Source organism: Homo sapiens, chromosome 15, assembly GCF_000001405.40.
Source record: "Homo sapiens chromosome 15, GRCh38.p14 Primary Assembly".
NCBI lineage: Eukaryota > Metazoa > Chordata > Mammalia > Primates > Hominidae > Homo > Homo sapiens.
In genome coordinates, this window is record NC_000015.10 from 70,744,072 (window position 1) to 70,766,282 (window position 22,211).

The 22,211-nt window shown below is 40.6% G+C and overlaps 1 protein-coding gene across 3 annotated transcripts in view, besides 1 other annotated feature; it reads right to left on the reverse strand.

Annotated features, from left to right (window-relative positions):
- Positions 1-22,211, reverse strand: part of UACA (uveal autoantigen with coiled-coil domains and ankyrin repeats) — a 124,350-nt gene that overhangs the window by 89,518 nt on the left and 12,621 nt on the right. For 2 of the 3 annotated variants that reach the window (XM_017022394.3, NM_018003.4), the window contains exon 1: positions 19,259-19,487. The exons of the other annotated variant lie outside the window; for it this stretch is intronic. In XM_017022394.3, the coding sequence (XP_016877883.1) occupies positions 19,259-19,336 (78 nt within the window). In that variant the 5' untranslated portion in view covers positions 19,337-19,487. Of the gene's footprint in view, positions 1-19,258; positions 19,488-22,211 lie in introns of those variants that run through there. 3 annotated transcript variants of the gene reach the window in all.
- Positions 19,252-19,661: a silencer, noted in NCBI's record as "silent region_6609". NCBI's record gives its function as "represses an Ori minimal core promoter by ATAC-STARR-seq in GM12878 lymphoblastoid cells {active_cell/tissue: GM12878}" and the evidence as "EXISTENCE:reporter gene assay evidence [ECO:0000049][PMID:35858748]".

The following is a 22,211-nucleotide window of genomic DNA, read 5'->3' on the forward strand; positions in this document are numbered from 1 at the left end:
GTCTCTACTAAAAATACAAAAAAAGTAGCCAGGCATAGTGGCGGGCGCCTGTAGTCCCAGCTACTGGAGAGGCTGAGGCAGGAGAATGAATGGCGTGAACCCGGGAGGCGGAGTTTGCAGTGAGTTGAGATTACGCCACTGCATTCCAGCCTGGGCGACAGAGCAAGACTCTGTCTCAAAAAAAAAAAAAAAAAAAAGAAAGAAAAACTAGGATGAAGGATACAAACCTTAGGCTGTTGGGTCTCTTAACATACAGGGATCCAGCTGACTGCCTTTGGTATAAGACAGTCCCCATCCCTACCACATAAATCTAGCAGAAGGAAGGAGGGAGGGAGAGAAAAAAGTACCTCACATATACCCGATGCCTCATAAATATTTGTTGAGTAAAGTTATAAGATAATAGACTATAAACTTATTAGCCTTCAGAAACTTCACCTCCCTAGCCAGAGAAGAGAACTATTTCTAAATTTCAGCTATTAATGGAATAAAAGCTACCTATACCAAGCAAGGCTGACACTTGATCAAAGGTAAGACAGTCTGCAAGAGGGCTGGATAATGGTCCTCAGGGGTGACAGAAGAAAATGGGAGCAGGTAGTGTTAAGACCAAAAAACAGTCTTAACAAATATTAGTAGAATTGAATTTTGCTGAAATTTTTAGCTTCAAAGTAATTACAACTTATATAATGGCAAATATACAAGTAGATACAGTGTCCTCAACAGAATTCCCAAGACTTGTTCTCAGCAAAATTAGTCAGGATTCTGCCTACTGGTATTAACCAGTAGAAAGAACACTTTGATAGCTATGAGTGATACCATAGAATGAGAACCTCATAACAGCCATACAGAGAATACTAACCATAGCTCCAACTCTCCATCAAATACACAAGTGTAATGTTTTCCATAGCTTACAAAACACTCTTAAGTCTAGAGTTCTCATTCATTGCTCTACTCTATAATAAAAATTTACTGGGGAAAAATATGTATTTTGACCTAGGAATACAACTTACAAGGGATGTGAAGGACCTCTTCAAGGAGAACTACAAACCACTGCTGAAGGAAATAAGAGAGGACACAAACAGGCCAGGCGCAGTGGCTCACACCTGTAATCCCAGCACTTTGGGATGCCGAGGCAGGCGGACCATGAGGTCAGGAGATCAAGACCATCCTAGCTAACATGGTGAAACCCCTTCTCTACTAAAAAAAAATACAAAAAATTAGCCGGGCGTGGTGGTGGGCACCTGTAGTCCCAGCTACTTGGGAGGCTGAGGCAGGAGAGTGGCGTGAACCCGGGAGGCGGAGCTTGCAGTGAGCCGAGATCGTGCGTGCCACTGCACTCCAGCCTGGGCAGCAAGACTCTGTCTCAAAAAAGAAAAAGAAAAAAAAAAAAAAAGAGAGGACATAAACAAATGGAAAAACATTAATCATACACAGGAAGAATCAATATCATGAAAATAGCCATACAGTCCAAAATAATTTACAGATTCAATGCTAGTCCCATGAAGCTACCACTGACTTTCTTCATAGAATTAGAAAAAACTACTTTAAATTTCATATGGAACCAAAAAAGAGCCTGCATTGCCAAGACAATCCTAAGCAAAAAGAACAAAGCTGCAGCCATCATGCTACCTGACTTCAAACTATAATATAAGGCTACAGTAACCAAAATAGCACGGTACTGGTACCAAAACAGGTATATAGACCAATGGAACAGAACAGAGGCCTCTGAAATAACACCACACATCTACAACCATCTGACCTTTGACAAACCTGACAAAAACAGGCAGTGGGGAAAGGATTCCCTACTTAATAAATGGTGTTGGGAAAACTGGCTAGCCATATGCGGAAAACTGGCTAGCCATATGCAAAAAACTGAAACTGGACCCCTTCCTTACACCTTATACAAAAATTAAATCAAGATGAATAAAAGATTTAAACGTAAGACCTAAAACCATAAAAACCCTAGAAGAGAATCTAGGCAATACCATTCAAGATATAGGCATGGGAAAAGACTTCATGACTAAAACACCAAAAGCAATGGCAACAAAAGCCAAAACTGACAAATGGGATCTAATTAAACTAAAGAGCTTCTACACAGCAAAAGAAACTATCATCAGAGTGAACAGGCAACATACAGAATGGGAGAAAATTTTTGCAATCTATCCATCTGACAAAGGGCTAATATCCAGAATCTACATGGAACTTAAACAAATTTACAAGAAAAAAACAAACAACCCCATCAAAAAGTGGGCAAAGGGTAAGAACAGACACTTTTCAAAAGAAGACATTTATGCAGCCAACAAACATCTGAAAAAAAAGCTCATCATCACTGGTCATTAGAGAAATGCAAATCAAAACCACAATGAGATACCATCTCATGACAGTTAGAATGGCAATCATTAAAAAGTCAGGAAACAGATGCTGGAGAGGACATGGAGAAATAGGAATGCTTTTACACTGTTGGTGGGAGTGTAAATTAGTTCAACCATTGTGGAAGACAGTGTGGCAATTCCTCAAGGATCTAGAACTAGAAATACCATTTGACCCATCAATCCCATTACTGAGTATATACCAAAATGATTATAAATCATTCCACTATAAAGACACATGCACACATATGTTTACTGCAGCACTATTCACAATAGCAAAGACTTGGTACCAACCCAAATGCCCATCAATTTTAGGCTGGATAAAGAAAATGTGGCACATATTCACCATGGAATACTAGGCAGCCATAAAAAAGAATGAGTTCATGTCCTTCACAGGGACATGGATGAAGCTAGAAACCATCATTCTCAGCAAAGTAACACAAGAACAGAAAACCAAACACCACATGTTCTCACTCATAAGTAGGAGTTGAACAATGAGAACATATGGGCACAGGGAGGGGAACATCATACACTGGGGCCTGTCAGGGGGTGGCAGGCAAGGGGAAGGCTAGCATTAGGAGAAACAATGTAGATGATGGGTTGATGTGTGCAGCAAACCACTATGCACATGTATACCTGTGTAACAAACCTGTACGTTCTGCACATGTATCCCAGAACTTAAAGTATAATTTTCAAAAAAAATGTATTTTGTCACCTTTACACTGTTCCATCTCACTTGTGCTGTATTCAGCTATTCAACTCAAAATTACTTTGTGCAGAAACGAATGGTGTTTGTTTTTTGGGTTTTTTTTTTTTTTTTTTTTTTAGATGGAGTCTTGCTCTGCTGCCAGGCTGGAGTGCAGTGGCGTTATCTTGGCTCACTACAACCTCCACCTCCCAGGTTCAAGCAATTCCCCCGCCTCAGCCTCCCTTTTAGGGGTTATTTTTGGGAGACAAGGTCTTGCTCTATCGCCCAGGCTGGAGTACACTGTCATCATCATGGCTCACTTCAGCCTCAACCTCCTAAACTCAAGGGATTCTCCTGCCTCAGCCTCCCAAGTAGCGGGGACTACAAACACACCTGGCTAATTTTTTTTAAGATGGGGTACATTTCCATTTATATTGTTTTAAAGCTTTCAATTATTTCCATTCTTCCTAGTAGCTACAATCTCTGGTAGGGTAGAAAAGCAAGTGGTATTGGCCCCATCTTATAAGAGAAATAATTGAAACTTATTGAGATAAAGTGATTAGACCAAAGTTTTTCAGTAGCAGTGCCTGGACTGAAACCAAAATTTTCTGACATCCTGTCATCCTTGATCTTTCTGCCTATTGAATATCTCTACTTAAATAGTATTGACACTAAAATGAAAGATGACATTTTTTAAATTGCATCAAATTTCTTTTTATTTATATAGAAAAAAATAAAATAGAATAATTTATGTCCCAGAGAAACACTAATCCTATCTTAAAAATCTGAATGAAATAATATATTCTTAAATACAAGTCCAGGTGATTCAGTTTAGAGAAAATGAATTCTCTAATTCATATAATTCTCAAATATTCACGAATATATGCTGAATTTTTTGTTTACGCTTTTTATGCAACCTAGTGCCTGGCATAGTACTGTATGTATACACCTACACCAAGCTAGGCTGACACTGGACCCAAGGTGGGGCAGTCTGCAAGGGGGCTGGATAATGGTCCTCAAGAGTGACAGAAGAAAATGGGGGCAATTTAAATGGCTTAATATTTAATTAAGAACTTCAATAAATTTCAATTCTTAGCTGTAAAGAAAAGTCAAAAAAAAATTCAACCCACAAACAGGAAAGTATTTACTTAGCAGCAGAATACAGAAATTGAGCATCTCTCTAAGTGTAGTCTATACACCACTATGCACGTGACCCTCCTGCTGGCACAAGGACAAACATGGGTGACACAGTCTTCTGGCAGTTCCTTCTACAGTTCCAGAGTGTTCTGCATCAGTCTGCAGCAGGGACAGATGCAGCAGTGAAGCCTGGGGCATGAAGTTAGAAATTAAAAAGGAATAAAAGCCCAACAGAAGCCAGCTCCAAAGCTCCGGTACTTGGCTCACCCTAATGACAGGACAAATTTATAGAGTGCAGGTCCTTGCATACAGCCTGCAGTCACATGCCTGCACACCAACATTCTCTTCCTACCTGCCCCTACCCCTCCCTTTCCCTGTTCATTCTACCCCTCCCTTTCCCTGTTCATTCCCTAGAGATGCTCATCATAGAAATGCTCTCTGTAGCTCAGAGGAACACTAGGCTCCGATTTCATACACTGTCCTGCATACAGTTTCCTTTCTAAATAAATGTACTGATATTTAAGTGTTTATAAGTGAGATATTTAAAAGAATATTCCAATTATTAATAGCACCAGTATTTCATGGATGTGACAAAAAATCAAGATAATGCATTAATATTAATGAAGTTTGTAAAAAAAATTATTTCTTCCAGCTCTGCTTCATCTTCACAAGTCCTATTACCCTTAAGTTTCCTCTTAAAACTAACTTTAAAAGTTAGTTTCAAATATCACTCATATTGTAGATACATGCTATAGTATTTAATGGTAAAATATCATTCTACAACTTCCTTCCAAATGGTTCAGTGAAAGATATGAGTGAGTGTGCATTTATTATGCTTTTATTATACATATATAGAGTGAATGCACCAAAATGTTAACTTTCGGATCTAAGTAGCATGCAGGTGGATCCTAGTTCATTGTGCTATTCTTTCAAATGTTATGTATGTTTCAATTTTTTCATAACAAAAAGTTGGAGAAAACAGGGCCGGGCGCGGTGGCTCATGCCTGTAATCCCAGCACTTTGGGAGGCCGAAGTGGGCGGATCACCAGGTCAGGAGATCAAGACCATCCTGGCTAATATGGTGAAACCCCGTCTCTACTAAAAATACAAAAAATTAGCCGGGCGCGGTGGCGGGCGCCTGTAGTCCCAGCTACTTGGGAGGCTGAGGCAGGAGAATGACGTGAACCCGGGAGGTGGAGTTTTCAATGAGCCGAGATCACGCCACCGCACTCTGGCCTGGGCGATAAGCAAGACTCCGTCTCAAAAAAAAAAAACAAAAACAAAAAATTAGCCAGGCGTAGTGGTGGGCACCTGTAGTCCCAGCTACTCAGGAGGCTGAGGCAGGAGAATGGCGTGAACCCAGGAGGCGGAGCTTGCAGTGAGCAGAGATCGCACCACTGCACTCCAGCCTGGGCGACAGAGGAAGACTCCGTCTCAAAAAAAAAAAAAAAAAAAAAAAGTTGGAGAAAACAAATTAGCTACCTGCTAAAAATCTGTGCTTATAAAGATTATTAGCATAGTAAGTTAAACTTTCAAGGGTATTTATCAAACATCATCATCAGAACATTGAGCTATTCACCCGAACTGAATATAAATATGTGCACTTCAAAAAAAATAAAATAAAAACACTAAATTGCTAACATACAGGAAGATATGGACAGTGCTCTCTCTCTCCCTCTTACAGCGTAATTACCATTCAATCAGGGACTGAACAGTGCATCAAACCCAGGACATTTGGAAATCACAAGGGGCTAGCAGGCTGGGTTTCTGACCACGTGTCTGTTGACTGTGACTTTGGTAAGTCACAACTTCTTCAGGGTTTCAGGTGGCCTGTGTTTCTCCAACTTGGGCCCTCCTCTCCATCCCTTCCAGCATTGTAATGATGCAGGCCCTCACTAATTCTTGCCTATAATATTTCAGCAGCTTCATAACCAATCCACCTGTCTCCAGGCTAGACCCTCTCAAATCCATCCTCAACAGAGCTACCACAGTAATCCATCTAAAACACGTTTGATTTTGGAATTTCCCACTTCTGGAACCACAGGAAGAAGTCCCAACAACTCTTGAAAATGGCCATTTTTAAAGCTATTCCAAGATCTACCCCCAAACCTCTACTTCCTACTTCCCACCCAATCCCCTTGCTATTGTTCTAGGATCCTCCCTTGCTATTTTTCTAGTATCCAATTTCCCCTTCCCCCAGCTCTGAGCTCCGTGATATTTCCTCTTCTCTATGCCTTTGCTCTTGTTGTTAACTCTGAAAGAAATTTAACCTTTCCTAGATCACTCCTATCCACTTCTTTCAAATCTCAAGAAGCTCACCCTGGCCAGGTGTGGTGGCTCACTCCTATAATCCCAAAACTTCAAGAGGCTGAGATGGGAGGATCGCTTGAGCCCTCAGGCGTTCGAGACCAGCCTGGGCAACACAGTGAGACCCCTGTCTCTACAAAAAATAAACAAAATTAGTCAGGCATGGTGGCGTATGCCTGTAGTCCCAGCTACGCACTTGCTGCAGTGAGTCAAGACTGTGCCACTGCACTCTAGTCTGAGTGACAGAGCAAGGTCCGGTCTCAAAAAAAAAGGTCACCCTGCAGATTGGTGTCTCAGGAGCTAGAGAAGAGTAGGTGGAAAGCAGTTGCTTAATGGATACAGAATTTTCTTCTAGAGTGATGAAAATGTTTTGGAAGTACGTAGAGATGGTGGTTATACAACAATGTGAATGTATTAAATGTCATTGAATCGTTCACTTTAATATGACTTATTTTATGTTTTGACAATCTCATCTCAATTTTTAAAAGACAGCAGCAGCAGCAGCTTATCCTACAAAAAAAACCCTCAATGACTCCCCACTCTTCTGCCCCAGACTAGATCAGTACCTTGTACAGTCCTCTATCACAGCACTTATTACCTTATATTATCTGCTCATGGAGCTCCCCCACAAAACTATGAGCCTCTTCTTATCTTCCTCATCCTCTCACCCTGCAGTGCTTAGCCCAAGTGCTCAATAAATTTTTTTCATAATTGAAAAATAGAGATACCACTTATCTCCCTCAGGAAAAGGGCTAAAGCAGGTGGACTTTTGAAGATCTAGGCTATATAAAAGCCTATTAATTGGAAAGGAAAAGATTAGGAAGATTGCTGTCAATCTGGTTATAAAGGACAACAATGGCATGACCTCTGGTAAGACTTTTCAGTTAGCAATATAAACATGTATTGAGTTACCTATATAAAGCACCGTATTAATATGCAAGCCCTTAATATGCCTTGTATCATTTAATGCTCACAACTACTCTATGAAATAAGTATAACGATTAATCCTATTTTCCAAATGAAGAAACAAACATATTTAAGTAACTTGCCTAAGGTCACAAAGCTGGTTACCAGGAGTGGCAAGGCTCACACCCAAGACGTGCAGGCTGCAGAGTTTGACCCTGTATCATCAATGTGCTAACCTGCACCTTCATGCTGCTCCAGGTATGATTTCAAGAGCTATGAATGGACATTCTCTGGCCCACAATTGTCTTTTCTAAGACTGAGAAACACTTCATTTTCCTTGTTTACCTACTTATACATGGCCATGAATGCTATTTATATTTCATAAAGTGCTTTTTTAAAATATAAAATGTTAATTTTTAAAAAAAAACAAAGAGAAGAATCATTTAAAAAGGATTTGTCATTTAAAAACCTCTAACATGGCCGGGCACAGTGGCTCACGCCTGTGGGAGCCAGCACTTTGGGAGGCCGAGGCGGGCAGATCACCTGAGGTCAGGAGTTCACGACAGGCCTGACCAACATGGAGAAACCCTATCTCTACTAAAAATGCAAAAAATTAGCTGGGTGTGGTGGCGCGTGCCCATAATCCCAGCTACTCGGGAGGCTGAGGCAGGAGAATCGCTTGAACCCGGGAGGCAGAGGTTGCGGCGAGCCAAGATCACGCCATTGCACTCCAGCCTGGGGCAACGAGAGCAAAACTCCATCAAAAAAAAAAAAAAAAAAAAACTTCTCACGTGTAAATCAGGAAGTGTTTGTGGGCTATTCTTATACACAGCTGAAAAGATCAGAGTGTACTGGCTTTACTACAACCACACCCACAGGGCCTCCCCACTGGGACTCATTTTCAAAGTACCTCAACATCTGCACAAAGTAGGCACCCTGCTAATGCGAAAACCATATGAAATAACAGCATGCTGGAAGAAAAGTTAAACACTCCTACTTTTTTAAAAGTGTAGAAAGCATGATGTATTATATGTGTTCTTGTTCTCTCTCCCCTCCCCCCCACCACTTATCTCTCTCTCTCTCTAGAGCTCTCTTGGAATGTCTCTCTCTAGTAAAGAGAAAATGTCACAATCTGGTAAGAAGAAAATTAAACAAGAGTCAATGAGATTTTTTTTTTAAAATGATTTGTGCATCTGCAAGGGAAAACCTTACTACAGAGGTAATATAAAAAACCTTGACAATATATAAATATGGTCAATATTAAAAACGCATCATCTCCTCAAAAGTGTACACAGTTGTAGATACACACACACACACCCCTCCAAATAAAACCAAGGATGACAGTATAATATACTGGGTAAGTATACATGCATACAAAGCAAAATGACAGAAGGGGCAGTGTGACAGTATTAATATCTAACAATGTAGAATTCAAAACAAAAGTTATAATGCAACAAATTAGAGGCTTTTATACGACAAGTTACACTCTACAATGAATATAAAATAGCCAAGAACCTTAATGTATCAATTATCACAAAATTAAATACATGAAACAAAAACTGTTTTAAATATCAGGGAAGGTAACAGAAGCACAGCTATAGTGAGACAGACATTACTCTAAAGCGACGGCTGGCCAAGTAGCAAAAATAAGGACGTATAAAGCTCTTACAGATCAACATGAACAGGGCATCAGCAGAAAAAATGGTCAAAGAAAATGAACAATTCCTAAAACAAGAAATGAACGCAGCCAATAAGCACAGAAATATGTTCACCCTCCCTGGAAATCAAAAACATGGATTAAGCCAAACTATTTTTTTCTATCACATTTAAAAATGTTTTAAATAACAGAATCTATTATTGGAAGGATATCAGGAATGCAACAATTCCACATATCTCTGGAGGGAACACAGATTGGTTTTGGAATTTCCCATAAAATGCCTCCTCTCTCCCCTTCTCCAATTTTTTTGTATATATGGCTTAAGGTGTAAATCCCATAGCATTAAATTTGAAACATCAGTTCACAATGGTAAGGACATGGGTTCCAAAGCCAGGCTACCTAACTCTTCACTTATTAGCTATAGTGTCTTGGGCAGGTAAATTATTTAACTTGCATCTGAAATGATGGCAATAGTACCTACTTCTTAGGGTTGCGGTGAGGATTGAGTTACTAGCACTTAGAACAATGCCTGGGAAATACATGCTCAATAAATCTTGGCTATCAGCACATGGATTTCTCACAAGCAGTTTCTTTCTAAGTAACTCACTAGCATTTACTGAGTACTTCTAATTGGGACATTTGTATGTGCTCAAATAATTTCAAATTACTTATAATTTTTTTTGTTGCTGTTGAGACAGAGCCTCGCTCCATCGCCCAGGCTGGAGTGCAGTGGCGCGATCTCGGCTCAATGCAAATTCCGCCTCCCAGGTTCACGCCATTGTCCTGCCTCAGCCTCCCGAGTAGCTGAGACTACAGGTGCCCACCACCATGCCTGGCTAATTTTTGTATTTTTAGTGGAGACAGGGTTTCATCATGTTGCCCAGGCTGGTTTCGAACTCCTGACCTCAAGTGATCCGCCCACCTCGGCCTTCCAAAGTGTTGGGATTACAGGCGTGAGCCACTACGCCCAGCCTATATTTGGTTTTCTACAATGAACATGTATGACTTTTGTGGGACAGTCATTTATCCTAACTGGTTGAGACATTCACCTGCGCTCTCTCAAGGATACCTGGCCAGGTCCCATTCAATTACAGACAGTCCCCAACTTATGATGGTTAGACTTAGGATTTTTTGACTTTACAACAGTACAAAAGCTACATGCATTCAGCAGAAACTGTATGTACTTTGAGTACCCGTACAACTATTCTGTTTTTTCACTTTCAATAGAGTATTCGGTATTGAATTCATGAGATATTCAATACTTTCTTATAAAATAGGCTTTGTGTTAGATGATTTTGCCCAACTGGAGGCTAAGTGTTCTGAGCATGTTTAAAGAAGGTTAGGCTAAGCTATGATGTTGTGTAGGTTAGGTGTCTTAAATGCATTTCGACTTACAATATTTTCAACTTAAACTGGGTTTACCAAGACATAACCCCATAATAAGTCAAGGAGCATCTGTATAAAAATACAACTCATCGATCCTTTGCCAGTGCCTTTGGTCACTCAGCTACATCAGTTCATCTTCTGCATATCATCTTGGAGACTGTATCATTTGAAAATAAGTCAATGTCAACAATATTTAGGATTTCTGACAATAAAACAAAGCCAACAGACAAAACTGTTTGTGTGACTACAAACAATCCAATTTATTCTTGTGTTTTGGGGCTACATTTTTAAGCCTGGAAGAGACATTATCTTTTCTAATGATATAAAAGCTATATAAAGCTTTTAATTGTATTATGATTAAGGAAAATAAGGCAATGAGTATTATATCCTATTGTTCCATTTATAATTTCAGGCAGCACATTTCAACCATCCATTTTTAGGCAAATTCCCCACAGAAATCAATTTGACTTCCTTTGCATAAATAAGCACGTGCAGGTGGAAATTTCAATAATATGCTGTATCCTTTAGGTGGCAGGACAAACATTTGCAAAACTGTAACAGGACAGTAAAAGTTTCCATATGATAGTGATGAAACAATACATGTTATAACGTTCAAATCTATTATTCTTGGATCTAGTTTACCAAAGATACAAACATAAGTTAAACAGGGCTGATAAAATCAAAATTTTGCTGGCTATTAGCTAATTCTAGAGAGGAAGGGAGAAGCAGAAAGATGAACTTATAAACTCACTAATAGGATAATTTCTGAAGATGAAACTTTCATGACTAGTCAGTTCTCTCTGAACAGTGATCTAAACTTGTCAAGTAATTTAAATTTTAATTCAAGGTTTAAAAAAAAAAAAGAATGAGGCCGGGGGCAGTGGCTCACGCCTATAATCTCAACAATTAGGGAGGCCGAGGTGGGTGGATCGCCCGAGGTCAGGAGTACAAGACCAGCCTGGCAAACATGGTGAAACCCCATCTCTACTAAAAACACAAAACTTAGCCAGGCATGGTGACAGGAGCCTGTAGTACCAGCTACTCGGGAGGCTGAGGCAAGAGAATCTCTTGAACCCGAGAGGCAGAGGTTGCAGTGGGCCAAGATTGCGCCACTGCACTCCAGCCTGAGCGACAAGAGGGAGACTTATTCTCAAAAATAAAAAAAAAAAAGAATGAATGAAAACCTTCCTTTACCACAATCCCCAAGCTGCACGCCCTCTAACTCCCTATTTTCAATAGAATTCTTATTTGAAGATTTGTCTATGCCTCATCTGTGCCATCCTCTACCATAAAACCAGAATTAGTTTCCAAATCTGATGCTCCCTCAGCTGTATAATTTCACAGCTCCATACCACTGCATTTGCTCTTCTTTTGCTTGGAAAGCCACTGAAATTGTCTTTCTGGCCCAAGCTCACACTCTACCTTTCAACCTTTTTATGGGCTCACTCTACACTCTATGTGCCCCCACAGCAATTTATACCGACTTCTATAATAACTGTTAACATGCCATATTCATTTATTTTTTATATCTAGCTCTTAAAATTCTTGAAGGCTGTGACTAGCTCTTTCTAATTACAGTACAGAAATTTTAGGACATACGCTAAATACAACAGTATCACAAAAGTGAATAAGCATCATGAACCACCCAGCCGCAATTTTTTTTTTTTTGATGGAGTCTTGCTCTGTTGCCCAGGCTGGAGTGCAATGGCATGATCTCAGCTCACTGCAACCTCCGCCTCCCAGGTTCAAGCAATTCTCCTGCCTCAGCCTCCCTAGTAGCTGAGACTACAAATGACCATGCCCAGCTAATTTTTGTACTTTTAGTAGAGACAAGGTTTTACCATGTTGGCCAGGCTGGTCTCGAACTCCTGACCTCAAGCGATCTGCCCACCTCGGCCTCCCAAAGTGCTGAGATTACAGGCATGAGCCACTGTACCCAGCCCCAAATGCAGTTACTAACTCAAGACCAATCCTATTGCAACTATACCCCCAACTTACTATCCCCACCCACCCAAAGATTATTTTGAAGGAAATCCCAGACTCCAAAATATTTCTTTGAAAGATAAAGACTCAGCTGGGCGAGGTGGCTCATGCCTGTAATCCCAGCACGTTGGGAGGCCAAGGCAGGTGGATCACCTGAGGTCAGGAGTTCAACACCAGCCTGGCCAACATGGCAAAACCCTGTCTCTACCAAAAATACAAAAATTAGCCAGGCATGGTGGCGGGCAGCTGTAATCCCAACTACTCGGTAGGCTGAGCCAGGAGAATCACTTGAACCCGGGAGGCGGAGGTTGCAGTGAGCAGAGATCACACCACTGCACTCCAGCTGGGGCAACAGAGTGAGACTTCATCTCCAAAAAATAAAATGAAGGATAAAGACTCTTTATAAACACAGCCACATTACTACCACTGTCACATTTAAATGTTTCAAATAATTCGATATCATCAAGTATCCAGCTGATGATTATATTTCCTCGATTGTTTCATAAACTTTTACTTTTTACAAGTAGTTAATCAGGATCTAAATAAAGTCCATCACGGCAATTGGCTAGTATGCATTTTAATCTCTTAAATCTCTTGTAATCCATAGGTTTCTCCTCTTTTTCCTTTTCTTACAATTTATAATTTTTAAGAAACCATTTCATTTTTCCATAGATTTCCACAATCAGAATTTTGCTGATTGCATCCCTATCTTCCTTTGTTCCCTGTATGACAATAATCAAAATTATTGTATGACAATAAACAAAATCATGGTTATAGCTAAAGGGTGATTATTTTGGCAAGACTATTAATAGGTGGTAATAAGTATTTCCACCACAAGATATATTATGCCAGCTTGTCTTTCTTTTTGAGACATTAGTAGCCTCTGACAATCATGTCTATAGACTCTAGATTCATTAATTCATTAGGAGCTGTAAAGTTATGATATACTAACTCTATCACCCCTTCTTCATATATTAGCTGGGACAGAATACATGATATACTAATTACATCATCCCTTCTTCATCTATTAGTGGCAGTAAAGTATAACTAAAACAGACACTTCCTCTTATCAGCTATTTGGCTACCTTGAGATACAGTTCTCACAGGAAATGCACAATAAATGTTTTATTATTTCCCTTTATTTTCCTGATCTTGAAAGAATGCATCACTTTCCTAGCATCCTCCAAAAGTCAAGAGTTGTTTTTATTCTTTTGGTCATCATTACAAACTCATGGATTTAAGGATTTCAGTGCACTACAGTTGCTATTCTTACTGATGATCAAACTGTCCCATCTTTGGGCAACTGAGAGCCTCTTGGAGTTGGCTCCAGAGTCCTAATCTTTGACAGCCTCTTTACACTCCAGCATGACAAGGGCACTCCAAGTTCATCCTCCACACTTTCTGCTTTCAACTTGGAATTATCCATTTCTTCGAAGAGGACCTAATTAATCCATTATTGAGCCTATGTGTTCCATAAATGTTTTCCAAACTAAATAAGGCAACTGCTGAGCAAAGTCTACTTCCTGAACTAATCATTTTTAATTTGAACAATGCATATGATGTACCATAAGTATATATAATCATTACACCATCCTTATTAAAAAACTAATTAAAATCCTTTACTCATCACCTAAAGTTCCTGGACTCATTATGCACCAAAAGACCCACCAAACCACTCTGCTTTGGTATTACAATAAAATTCAGCAATTCAAATCAACATAATGTTCTGAATAAACTTGCTGCAGGGTGAGGGTTGAAATCAAAAACTATAAAAGAAGGGTTTCTTTATTGTAATCCTCCTTCAAGAAGCACAAGAAATTCAACGCAGGGATAACCATAGGAAGTTGTCTGAATACAGCTTTAATTAAGGTAAGCATTTTTAATTTAAGGTTGGAATAGTTAATGACAATGAGTAAACAGTGCTTAAGTATCATGAGTTTAAACTAAACATAACAATTTGTTATCTTATTTACATTACCCAAAAGTCGCTGTTATGAGAATAACATTAAGATCTTTTCAAATGCACCCAAATCCCTCAGTGGAAAACACAAAGCCCTCATTCTCAAAATCAACAACTAAAACAAAATCATGTTTAATCCTTTATGCTTTCTAAACATCTCAAACTAATGTTATTAGTGGAAACAGAAAATGTTTTTGAAGATTTTTTTCAGTTGCTATATTTGTAACTCTAAATTCTTTTAGAAATACCAGTATTTTTTCGCAGTGCTGAGGCATTATAGCAAGATGCTTTAAAACATATTTAGTTCTGATTTATAAAATTCACTGCCCCATTTTAAGAGCAGCCTAGAGAAAGGGCAGCAAAAATAATCACTACAGAACCTCTCAGGTCAGAGATTACTTCTACAATCAAAGTACTCTGCTACGACTTTGTTTGTTTGTTTTTGGAGACAGGGTTTCCCTCTATCACCCAGGCTGGAGTCACAGTTCACTGCAGCCTTGACCTCCTGGGCCCAAGTGATCCCCTCACCTCAGCCTCCCAGGCAGCTAGGACCACAGGCATGCACCATCACGTCGGGCTAATCTTGTATTTTTTGTGGAGATAGGATTTCACCACGTTGCCCAGGCGGGTCTCGAACTCCTGGGCTCAAGCAATCCAATTTAAAGTGGAATCCCCTTCTAAAATGTCTGCTTACAATATCTGTTTGCAGCACTTCTACTACTTCTGGAATTACAGTCCCTTAATTTATATTAAATTTCCTAAACTAGGTGAAAATGGAACAAGCATATTCTCACTATACATATAACTGAACACACAATTAACCAGATCTGGTACAGTATTTATAGTCATCTAATTATCCCTTTTAGAAATCCGAAGCTCCAACTTAGTAAGTGATTAAAAATAAATGTAACAGGCTGGGCACGGTGGCTGATGCTTGTAATCCCAGCACTTTGGGAGGCCAAGGTGGGCGGATCACCTGAGGTCAGAAGTTTGAGAACAGCCTGGCCAATGTGGTGAAACCACCTCTCTACTAAAAATACAAAATGAGCCGGGCATGGTGGCAAATGCCTGTAATCCCAGCTACTTGGGAGGCTGAGGCAGGAGAATTGCTTGAACCTGGGAGGCGGAGGTTGCAGTGAGCCGAGATCACGTCATTGCACTGCAGCCTGGGCAACAAGAGTGAAACTCCATCTCGAAAAATAAATAAATAAATAATAAATGTAACAATAAAAACACTCTTCATTTATGGTTAACAGATGCAGCCATCTCCAGATTTGCTAGTAAAGGACTAATCCACAAATGTAGTTTATCCAGAATTTGTAATTGTGAACTACATTTATATGTGTACAAACATTCCCATTTAGTAAACTCTAAATTCATTGGCATATTTATAACAATAGTACTATTCAGAATATTCAAAATTACTACTTTTGCCCATAATCTGCACATAATTCTAATTTAGCATGCTAAGCTAATATGCTGTATTCCACATATTATGTAATAAAATACTGCATATGTCACATACCTCAGTCTACTGCTGTGTCTTCTTCAGATAATAAGCTTAAATACACAAAGGAAATTATTTATGAAATAAACATTTTAAAATTTTATCTCAAATCAAAGTTGTGCAAAGTAAATAGTGACTATTTCCAAAATAATTAAATGAACAGTTTAAGACCCAAATTAAGTACCCATAGAGGAAAGAGAAGAAAGTAAGATGTACTTTAACACCATAATAAGTATCTTATGTATCAAAGACTTAAATGTAAAAAAAGAAAAAAAACTAGAAGAAAGTTGGGGAGGGGGGTTGTTTAATATTAAATATCGCAGAGTGGAAAGGCCAAGATATTACATAAACCTAAAAATCATAAAAGGTTATAAATTCAATTGTATAAAAATAACCACCTTCTCTGCACAGCAAATGCCACCATAAAAATGTCTTAAGACAAACAGCCAATTAAGAAATAATATTATTCAAATGAAAAGGGCTAATTTCCCTGATATAAAGTATATACAAATGAATAGGGAAAAATATCGACAACCCAATAGAAAAATGGAAAGGACAGGCCAGGCGCAGTGGCTCACGCCTGTAATCCCAGCACTTTGGGAGGCCGAGGCGGGTGGATCACAAGGTCAAGAGATTGAGACCATCCTGGACAACATGGTGAAACCCTGTCTCTACTAAAAATACAAAAATTAGCCTGGCGTGGTGGTGCACGCCTGTAGTCCCAGCTACTCAGGAGGCTGAGGCAGGAGAATCACTTGAACCTGGGAGGCGGAGGTTGCAATGAGCCAAGATGGTCCCATTGCACTCCAGCCTGGCGACCGAGCGAGACTCCGTCTCAAAAAAAAAAAAAAAACAGAAAAAGAAAAATGGAAAGGATAAACTGTTCTTACCTATCAGGCTAGCAAAGGTCAAAAACTTTGAACAGACTTCTATTAAAAGCTTGGAAAACATTTCTCATATGCTGGTTCCATGATGCATGAAAGGAAACTTGACAACATCCTTCAAAATTACAAATGCACATATCCTTTAACCCAGCAATTCACTTTTAGGAATTAATCCTACAGGTACAGACACACACTTGAAATATGAATATTAATCACAGAATTGTACATTACAGCAAAAGATATGAATGGGGAGCCTCTATTTACAGTTTTAAAAAAAAAAGTCCAAGATATGAAACAGCAGCTACAGTGTGCTAGCATTTCTATAAAGGGTGACTATATTCATATTTGCTTGTATATGCTAAGCTCTCTCTGGAGGAACATGCAAGCAACTGTATCATCAGTGGCCTCAGGAAGTGGGGGCAGGGTGGCTGAAGCAGGGGTTAGGGAAACACGGTGTCGATATTTTGTTGTAAATATTTTTATTCCTTTCCAATATTAAACCATGTGCTATATTACCTATTCAAAAAATAACTGTTTTTAAAGGCAAAAAGAAAAAAAAAAAGGGTGGCCCAATCATACAATAAATACATATACATGTGACCAAATCTGGGATTATGGTTTATAGATTGAAAAGCAGAAAGGGTCTATTTCTCCTGTACATGTGTTTTATTCTATCAATGCTTGGTTTGGTTTTATTCATCACTACAGTTTTATTTTAAAATTTTACAGAATTCATTCTAAGTTTTATTCCTCATTACGCTTTTATTTTTAAATTGTACAGAACTTATTCTAATATTTAAACAGAAATGTTTGCTTTTTCTACATAAATAGGTTAATATCATGTTTATCTTTATTATGTCATTTTGAGAAAAATAGAACGCTCAATTGAGTGCTAAAGATTTAAGCTCAGAGATATGCACTTTATGTTCCAAATGTATAAAATGCAAACTATCATGCTGATAATACCTACTAAATACTCTGCATTTCTAGAAAACTGGATAAAATTAAGGCATATAAACCTCCAAGTGGGATTTACATCCTTAGTGCAAATCAAACACAACCAGGGAAAACAAAGCTAATAAATCTAGAAACTTGTATCTTCTATAAGGCTAAAAACACAACTTGCATTACAGAAGTAGAATCTTAACTGTAATGAACTCCAATATCACTAAATGACATTTCTGCCAGTTACTTTTTTTAAAAAAAAAAGTGAAACAAAGTAATCTCTGTTTTCCATGAGCTTATAAAACGACTTCATGCTTTATCAAAGAACATCAATTACGTCATCTGAATCTACTCTCTTTTTTTGAAATAGGAATTTAAGTCTAGGTAGTTCCTCCACAATTTCCTTTATGTCCAAGTAAAATAATCCTCGATATAGGTGGAGAGAAAGGCATAACTGAATTAACTCAAAAAAGCAGAAGCAGATTAATTAGTATTCTGATAAAAAGAATATAATCATTTGGTAAAATCTGCGTTGAATTGTAAAGGTTCATTTTAATTACCCCAACTAGGTAACTGTGCAGTTGGAGCATAACAACTCCTTTACGTTCGACTCTTCCAAGACTTTGTAAGTGGCACTTATTTTAATGATATAGAATTTTGATGATATCGCCATTCTTGTAACGTGACAAATTATCTAAATCACAACATCTGCGGTCAGGCTGTTTCTCAAGATTTCTGTTCTCCTGCCAACTAAAGAGGCCCCGACTACTCCTTGGCGCGCACACTGAGGCCGCGCTGCAGGTCAGCACCGAAAGAGCCCCGCACGGATCCCGCCCCACAGGTGCGATTTACACAACCCACATCACCACCACCCCTCCCAACTTCACCACCTCTAGGGTCACCACCCTGTGGGGTTTTGTCTTTACGACTAAGCCGATTCCCTCTGCCTCGCTGGGGAATCAAACTTCCCAGTGACAACGACAGCGGCCAGCACGGGACGTCCACCAGCCCGGCAGGGCTTGACGCTGTCTCAGACCCGGGGAAGGTCCGGAGTCCGGGCACGGTGGCGCGGGGTGCGCAGCCCTGCCCACCTGCCCTACCTGGTGCGAGCCCCGGCCCCGGGGACTGGGGAGCCAACACGGCCGAGCGGGCGTGGGCAGCAGGGCGAGCGCCGGGAGAGGAGAGCGACGAGGGGGGGTCAACGGAAAGAGCGGAGTAGGGGTGCCAATCGAGGAACTTTGGATTTAGGAGGAGGGGGCCAGAACCGCCCCACTGAGGTTTCTTCCAGAAGTTCGGAGGCTTGGGAGAAAGGGGTGGGGAAGAGACCCGTAGAGGCTCGGGTGCGGCGGCGGGGAGGATCCCCGGGGTCTCTGGGCTGACGGAGTCTCCGGCCTCAGGGAGGAGTCGCCAGGGCCGCCGAAGCCGAACTGGCAGAGGAAAAGCAGAGGAAGGCGGCGCGCGAACTCGCCAGCAAAGGAGGGCTGCGCTGCTCCCGGAGCGGAGCGCCTCGCAGCCCGGACCGCGGGACTCACCGCGCTGGCGGCGGCGGCGCCAGACGACGCGGGGCCGGGCACGTCCTGCCTCCTCAGGCGGGACTTGAGGCTCTTCATGGCTAACTCTTGCCTGGCCCCCGCGCGAACCTTAAAGGCTGCGGAGTGCCAGCGCGCAAGGAGTAGACGGCAGCGGCTGCAGCAGAGGCGGCGCGGGCTGTACCAGCCCCACCTGCCTGCCACCTGCGGGCCCCGGGCAGCAGACGTCGACAGGCCTGAGGCGGGGCTCCCCTCCCGTAGCCAATTGACCCGCTGCCCTGGCGGGGGCGTGGCAAACCGCGACCAATCGGAATGCGGGAATGGGGCGGGACTTCCCTTTTAAACTGAGTAACACCCTTCCTCTCCCAGCTGGAGGAAAAGTTTGGGAACTTTAGCCCGGGAAGGGGCGGAGGAGGTGGGCGGCCAGAGGCGTGGAGATGCGCGCAGGCCGGGCTCCAGGCCACCGGCGCCCGCCCACCCGGAGCTTAAGATCTAGAGAGAGCACGGGGTCCCGCCTTTGCCACCTCTCATCTTCCCGGACTCCCCTCCTCTTTCCACCCACGCGCTCTTTACCAAGTAAAGTTCCTTCCCTTCCGTCTGGTCTTAGAAATGACTCTTGGTTACCTGCACACAGAACAGCTTTCAGGAGCAACTTCTTTTCAGTCTCCTGTTTTACTACCAAATCCTGGTGCCTGGAAACCACCACACGCATCAAAAATTCCAGAAATAAACAGTCTCTAAGAAATAAGGTGCTGATTGTGCAGAAAAACGTACAGTTAAGAAAGACCTTGAAAGACGTTATAGTAAGTTACAGTACAAGTTACGTGCTCGTTTATTTGTTGAGTGAAGAATCCGCCGTATTGGAAGCAAAGGGACGGAATGGGGGCGGGGAGGGAGGAGAAGAGGTGCCATCAATTAAAAATGACTCCCACAGCCAGTGATTTAAGTTGTCAAAAAAAGTTACGCCCTTTTTTCTTCAAAAAGGTTTTTTGTTTTCTGTAGAAACACATTACATGTAAACGTATACGATGAAGTTAAATCATCTTACCTAGAAATCTGGGTTAGTAAAAATTATTTAAGAGGATGAAGAAACAGGAAGGTGCTCAGCACCCAATAATTTGCTGTTCGGGTGACATCTTCAAAAGTCTTCTTTGGAGTCATTTTTCCCCCCAGCAAAACGTTTATCGTAGCATGCATCCATTTGAAAAGACAAACGGTCCACATTTTCTGACTAACAAAGGACTCTTTTTTGTCTGAAAGGTCAGTTGCTCTCTTTAGAGTTTCTTTATAGTAACGCAAGGTTTTCTTCAAATACTGTAAGAAAGTTTTCAGAATTTCTTGGAGAGGCAGCATTCAAAGACTGTGTTAACCCTATACAACAAGTAAATAACAACTAACTACCCAAAAATATTATTAAATTTCATCTTGATTAGATCTTTGGAAGAAAATTTTCTTTGATTCCTCCCCCTTCCTCTAGATCTCCAGTCATTTAGTTCTTGTTGGCTCTTTAAAGTGTCTGTGTATGGTCAGTTACTCTGTTCTCACTGCCACTGCAGAGCCAAAATTACCTCATACCCGGACTATTATTACAGAAGCTTCCCAGCCAGTCTCCCAACCTTCAGTCTCTTAATTGTCCCATCACCAATAAATTATCAGCCATCATCAATAAGTCTTACAAAAATACTCCTCTTGCTCAAAAGCCTTCAGCAGCTAACGAATAAAATCTAATTCTTTGCATTTAAAGCTGTATAACGTGGACGCGACCCTGTTCTCTAGCCAACACCCCAAGCGAATTACTCTTCAGCCCATTCTCCAAACATGGGTCATGGCTTTCAACTTCCACATCTTTATGCATACTGATCCCTCCCCCAATAATCTTCTGTCTGTCTACATTCATCTCAGAAAATCCTACTCCCCCAAGAGTGATTGGTAGGGGATGTCGGGGGCTTCTGGAATACTGTACTATTCTCTGTGGGTGCTGGTTACATATCTAGTGTTTTCAGATTGTGAAAATTCAATGAGCCTGTACTGTATGCAATATATTCTCTTTTATGTGTGTGTTATGCTTTAACAAAAAGTTTGTTTTTAAGTGTATGTCCCTTCCAAGTGCCCTCCTCTCTATAGAACCTTCCCTGATCAAGTAACTGGAAGTGATCTCTCCATCCTCCAAATAGTTACAGCAATTATACCTCTCATATGATACTAACACATATGAGCTGAGCAAACCTTATTTCATTACTGGACTTCAATTTACTTAAAATTGGGGAATAACTGACATATATTTGAATTCCCTAGAATGCTTAGCATGTTATAGGTGTTTAATAAATATTTCTGAATGAATTGATGCATTCTTATTGACTACTATAGCAAATTATGGTTGTTTGTTCTATGTATTTATGTGACACAGGATTGGGATTCCCCCTATTGTGAACACAGATGGAATGATCTGAGGCTATGGTCCTGCTCAAATATTTGTGTCTCAATCAACTCCTTTCTCTGGGCTTAAGATAAGCACCCATTTACCATCTAGTCCTCTGACTGAATCTTAAATGTTAATTGCTTACAAGAGCACTGTCTCAGTAATTGGCTCTTGAGTTATTAATTGCAGTGTTATGTTGTACTGGTTGTCTCCTGTAACATCCAAGTTATCATAGTCCTGGTGACTGGCCTCCTTTTCTGTTGTTACTGGATAAAGCAAAGGAAACAGACAGAACCACAAGTATAGCTTGCATCAGGTTCCAAAAATGTTGGGCAAGTTATTTTTATGAACTGTCTGGATGATGTCCCCATGGTGTCTGTGTCCAGTGGCCTTTATGGATTTTTCCAGCCTAGAAACTTGATAGCTGATGTCTGCTTATTCCCATTTGAGAGCAGCTAAGTAAATAGCACTGGTCTGAATATTCAGTAAAGCTTTTTTACATTGATCTGGAAGCTGCCTATATGAAGTAAAGTCACT